Below are 4,641 nucleotides of genomic sequence, written 5' to 3'. Positions count from 1 at the left end.
TTGTTCCAATATTTAAGAAAATATAAAATAAGTATCTATGTTTTTAAGGAATTATTCCTGCAAGGAGCACACAAAAATTTCAACTTGGGCAAAATGATTGATAGAAAGCAAGAAATACACATTGAATTTCTGATCAATGTCTCTCTTCAGTGTTTCCATTACAAAGTGGCAACATTTCCTAACTCCTCCTTCTTCATAAGAGTATTATAAAAGCAGATAAATTTCATTATGCACTTTGCTCTCTCAATATTTTGTAAAGTTTGCTGTCACCTACTTGCTATTGCAGTCCTCTGGATAGAAGGAATTTCTACTATAGTTTGCAGACACAGAAGATGAATTTTTAAATTTTATATATCTAGAGAGAGATCAATCTTTTTGTGGGGTGGCAGGAAGGACAATTGATGCAGCCACTTTTAACCTACTTTGTAATTTTATGCTCTTTTACATTTTTTTTTCTAACTTGGTTTAATATCTCCTTAATACTGTAAGGTGCCTTGTACACTGCTGCTTCTTTTGCTTGAAATTCTCTTCCCCCTGCCCCTTCGCCTATAAATTCCTCTCTTCCTGTGGTTCCCAACCCAATTATCCCTTCCTTAAGGAGACCTTTGCCAATGCCTACAAGTCAGTTATTCCAACTCCCGTGTTTGCATATTCCCAGTTTATATCCTCTTTCAAATATCTCAGTTCTCCAAGAGAACAAGAACCAAATTCATCTTGTTCAACCAGTAATCCTAATGCCTAGCATATAGTAGGTGAGAAATATGTGTGGAATGAGTAAATGCCTGTGGTTGCCTGGTCAGTGAAATGAAGGAAAAATATTGGTCGCTCTCATTTCCCAGGCCCAACATTTCCAAATAGAAAATAATTATTTTATCTTAGCCCAAAGAACCTAAAAACTTATACCATCATTCAAGAAACAGGTTAATAACGTGGCAAAGCTTGGCTACGTGGCAAAAGAAGCACAATGGATTAGAGATAGACTATAATAGACCACTTTTAGCAATTTTTTTTTCCTTTTGCCATTCCCTGCACTTTGGTATCTGAAAAAACTTATACAGCAAATGGTACAGTTAAGTATGAGGAATACTTGGAAGATCCGGACACAGAGCATGTCAGCTGTCACCAAGAACATGAATCCTCAGCTGTTGCCCTTTTTTCTCCTTACAAGTAAGTCCTGTCACACAGCACTATAAAAAGGAGGGGGCATGTCAAGAGAAATTTCATTTTGTTCTGATTATCATATTAAGTTACTCATGATCATAGCTTCAGAACACCTCTAAATTTGTTCTCCACATGTAATTTCTATGTAACTAATAATGCCTATGTGACATACATATACATTGTGCCCAATAGGATCAACCATTTCAAAAAGACCTCAGTGCTATAAATTGTGAATATTTTTAGACTTTCCTTCTATAATATACCTGACCCAAAACACAAAGAACGTTGATTAGGAATAAGATCTTACACCTCTTTTCTTTGAAGTTTCAGATTTTCTACATTTTTGTTGTTGTTGTCGTTTGTTTTAGTTCTTGGTTGTTTTTTCTAAAATAAACTTTTTATTTTAGAATACTTTTAGATTTGCAGAATAGTTGAGAGGAGAGTTCAGAGAGTTCCTAAGTATCCCACACCAAGTTTTCTCTATTGTTACCATCTTACAGTATATGTTACATTTGTCATAACTAATGAGCCAATACTGATACATCATTAATTAGCAAAAGTCTATGTTTTATTCAGATGTGTTTAGTTTTTACCTATGCCCCTTTCTTTTTTCTTTTTTTTTCCTTTTTTTTTTTTTTTTTTTTTTTTGAGACGGAGTTTCACTCTTGTCGCCCAGGCTGGAGTGCAGTGGTGCGATCTCGGCTCACGGCAACCTCCACCTCCCGGGTTCAAGCAACTCTCCTGCCTCAGCCTCCCAAGTAGCTGGGACTACAGGTGTGTCAGCACGCCCGGCTAATTTTTGTATTTTTAGTAGAGATGGGGTTTCGCCATGTTGGCCAAGATGTTCTTGATCTTCTGACCTTGTGATCTGCCCGCCTCGGCCTCCCAAAGTCCTGGGATTACAGGCGTGAGCCACGGCGCCCGGCCACTAATGACCCTTTCTTTTCAGGATTCCATCTAGGATACTACATTACGAATACTCACGATGTTTCCTTAGGCTTTTCAAGGCAGTAAAATCTTCTCAAACAGTCCTTATTTTGGTAACATTGACAATTTTTAGAAGTTATTGTCAGAAATTTTGTGGAATATTCCCACAATTTGGATTTAGTGGGTGCTTTTCTTCATGATTAGACTGGGCTATGGGTTTTTGGTGGTCAAAGACTACCTCAACCACAGAGTCAAGGTTAATATCAAAGCAATGTCATGCTATGCTAAGAGCAGGTACCCTTGATATGTTAAGAATGGTACTTTGCCTTTGTGATTTCTACTTTGAGAAAAAAATTCTATACCAACATATTTTCCTCTGTGCATTCATATATCAGTAATATATATAGTTAATAACACAAAGGGATTTAGGTATATAGTAGAATCAGACAATTTCCCTTCATGTTATGAAATAAAGTGTTCCTATTTCAATTCGGGGTATTTGAGTTTTTAAAACCAAGATCATTGGTGACATTAGTAATGTAAAACATATGTTGAGTGAGTGGATAAAACATATGGATTAATATATTTTATATTGTTTTAATTTATTTTCCAAATGCAAGGAAGACAAAAATATTTTTGCCCAGAACACATAAATCTCCTTTATCTGTTTAACCTTGTCACAGATTTTAAGGGATTTGTGCACATGAAACAAAGTATTGATAAAAACTATGAGTTAAAGCAAGATATATCTATCTCTCAGTAATTGCAGAAAATCCCAATCTATCTTTGAATGATCCAAAGGAAAACTGGTGAACAAATTTCTGCTATTTATGAAGGTATTTCTGTTATAAACATAGCATTATTTTAAAAATCTATCCTGATTATTTAAATATGAGACAGTATTCTAGGTAAAATATGTTCAGATTCTTCTGACTGTCCTGTATGTAAAAAATGAGTATCAGCAGCTAAATTTAGATAATGATTGAGTCCTTGATATGGGGAAACAAAGGAGGGAGCTATCAAAATGTTTTTCCTGTAATATACATGGATAATATAATTCAGTAGATCGTGCCACCATGTGAAAAAGGAGACTGATTAACTGTGGGTCAATTGTAACTTAGGTGAATTATTTCTGATCTGAGAGTCTTAATCTTGCTTAGTTGTAATATATGGACAGAAATAGTGACCTTCTCCAAGTTGGTGAATGCTTTTATATCAGACCCAAGAAAGTGGCTAATTAATCTGTATCTTTAAACACAACTATATTTAACAATTAGAATATGTGTGTATTTACACATACATTTGTACACATGTATGGATGTATATATACACACATACAGTAAATGTATATATGTATATATACACATACAGTAAACATATGTGTGTTTGTATATATATCCTTTATATATATAAAATGTATAAATGTGCTCTTTTAAAACCCAAACTATTTTTTTAAACTGGTTAATAACTACTCATTAATTAAATATCTCACAAGTTAAAACAACAGAGATGAGAGTGGGACTGAGAAATAACTGATTACTAATTGTAACCCCCTCTCTGGCAGAATTTACCACATACAAAGTTATAAAGTGCCCATTGGTGGTCTTAAATTTCTCGATATGAGTCTAGCCTTGCAAACTGAGGAAACCAAGGACAGAAAAGGAAAAACTTTCAAGTTACCACAACTTGCACAGTGTTGATAATTAAAGTTCTTCTCTCTCTTTATGTCTCTAAAAATGTATTTTGTCTCTCTAGTATGGACAAAAGATTTATGTGATAAATAATTAGACTTTACACCATTTAGAAAATAAATATCTATAAGTATCTACTTTTCTTGGAAGCTACTTTACTATTAGAAAAGTTGTTTTGCAAGAAGGTAAATCTTGCTGTCATTTCCATCCATTTGATATGCTTCATTAAATTATACAAAGAAAATTAAATTATAGGAAGTCATGTTGAAGTTTTTTGGCATAGAATTCACTACAATTAAAGGAGAGAAAGAGTGCCAGAGTCTGTGCTCCCTAGAAGGGAAGCCACTTTAAGACATGATGGGCTTTCCTTATACGTCTGCTTTTTTATTTTTAACCACCACCACCTCTTTGCTGACCAACATTTCCTTGCAAATTATGGCAAGGGGGGAGGAGCATGAGCAAAGGAGCTGTGTGAAAGTTGGTGATACTCCCTGCCAAAATTCCAAGTTGAAATGGAATCCTTCAGTAAAGTCTCTTAGGCAAGGTGGGAAAAAAAGATTTACAACTTCAGCAGAACTGTAATTCTACCAAGAAAAAGTACAGTCAATCTACCTCACTGTCACCAAAGGATCTGAAGCTGGCTTTGTCATATATCTTTCTCCTTTATATATGGAGGTGGGGGGGGGAGAAAAAAAGGAAAGAGAGTTAAAAAAAATTGATGAAGCCCTGACCCTTTAGATTCCATTTATAGTCTGAGCCGGAATGCCATCCCCCTTGACTAGAGAACTGTCCAATCCAGCCGCATGTGTCAAGATTCTATTAGGCACTAAGTGAAATATATATGCATGCCCTTATGCCGTTT

This window comes from Homo sapiens, chromosome 2 (assembly GCF_000001405.40).
Source record: "Homo sapiens chromosome 2, GRCh38.p14 Primary Assembly".
In the NCBI taxonomy this organism is placed as follows: domain Eukaryota; kingdom Metazoa; phylum Chordata; class Mammalia; order Primates; family Hominidae; genus Homo; species Homo sapiens.
Note: the sequence above shows the minus strand (reverse complement) of the source record.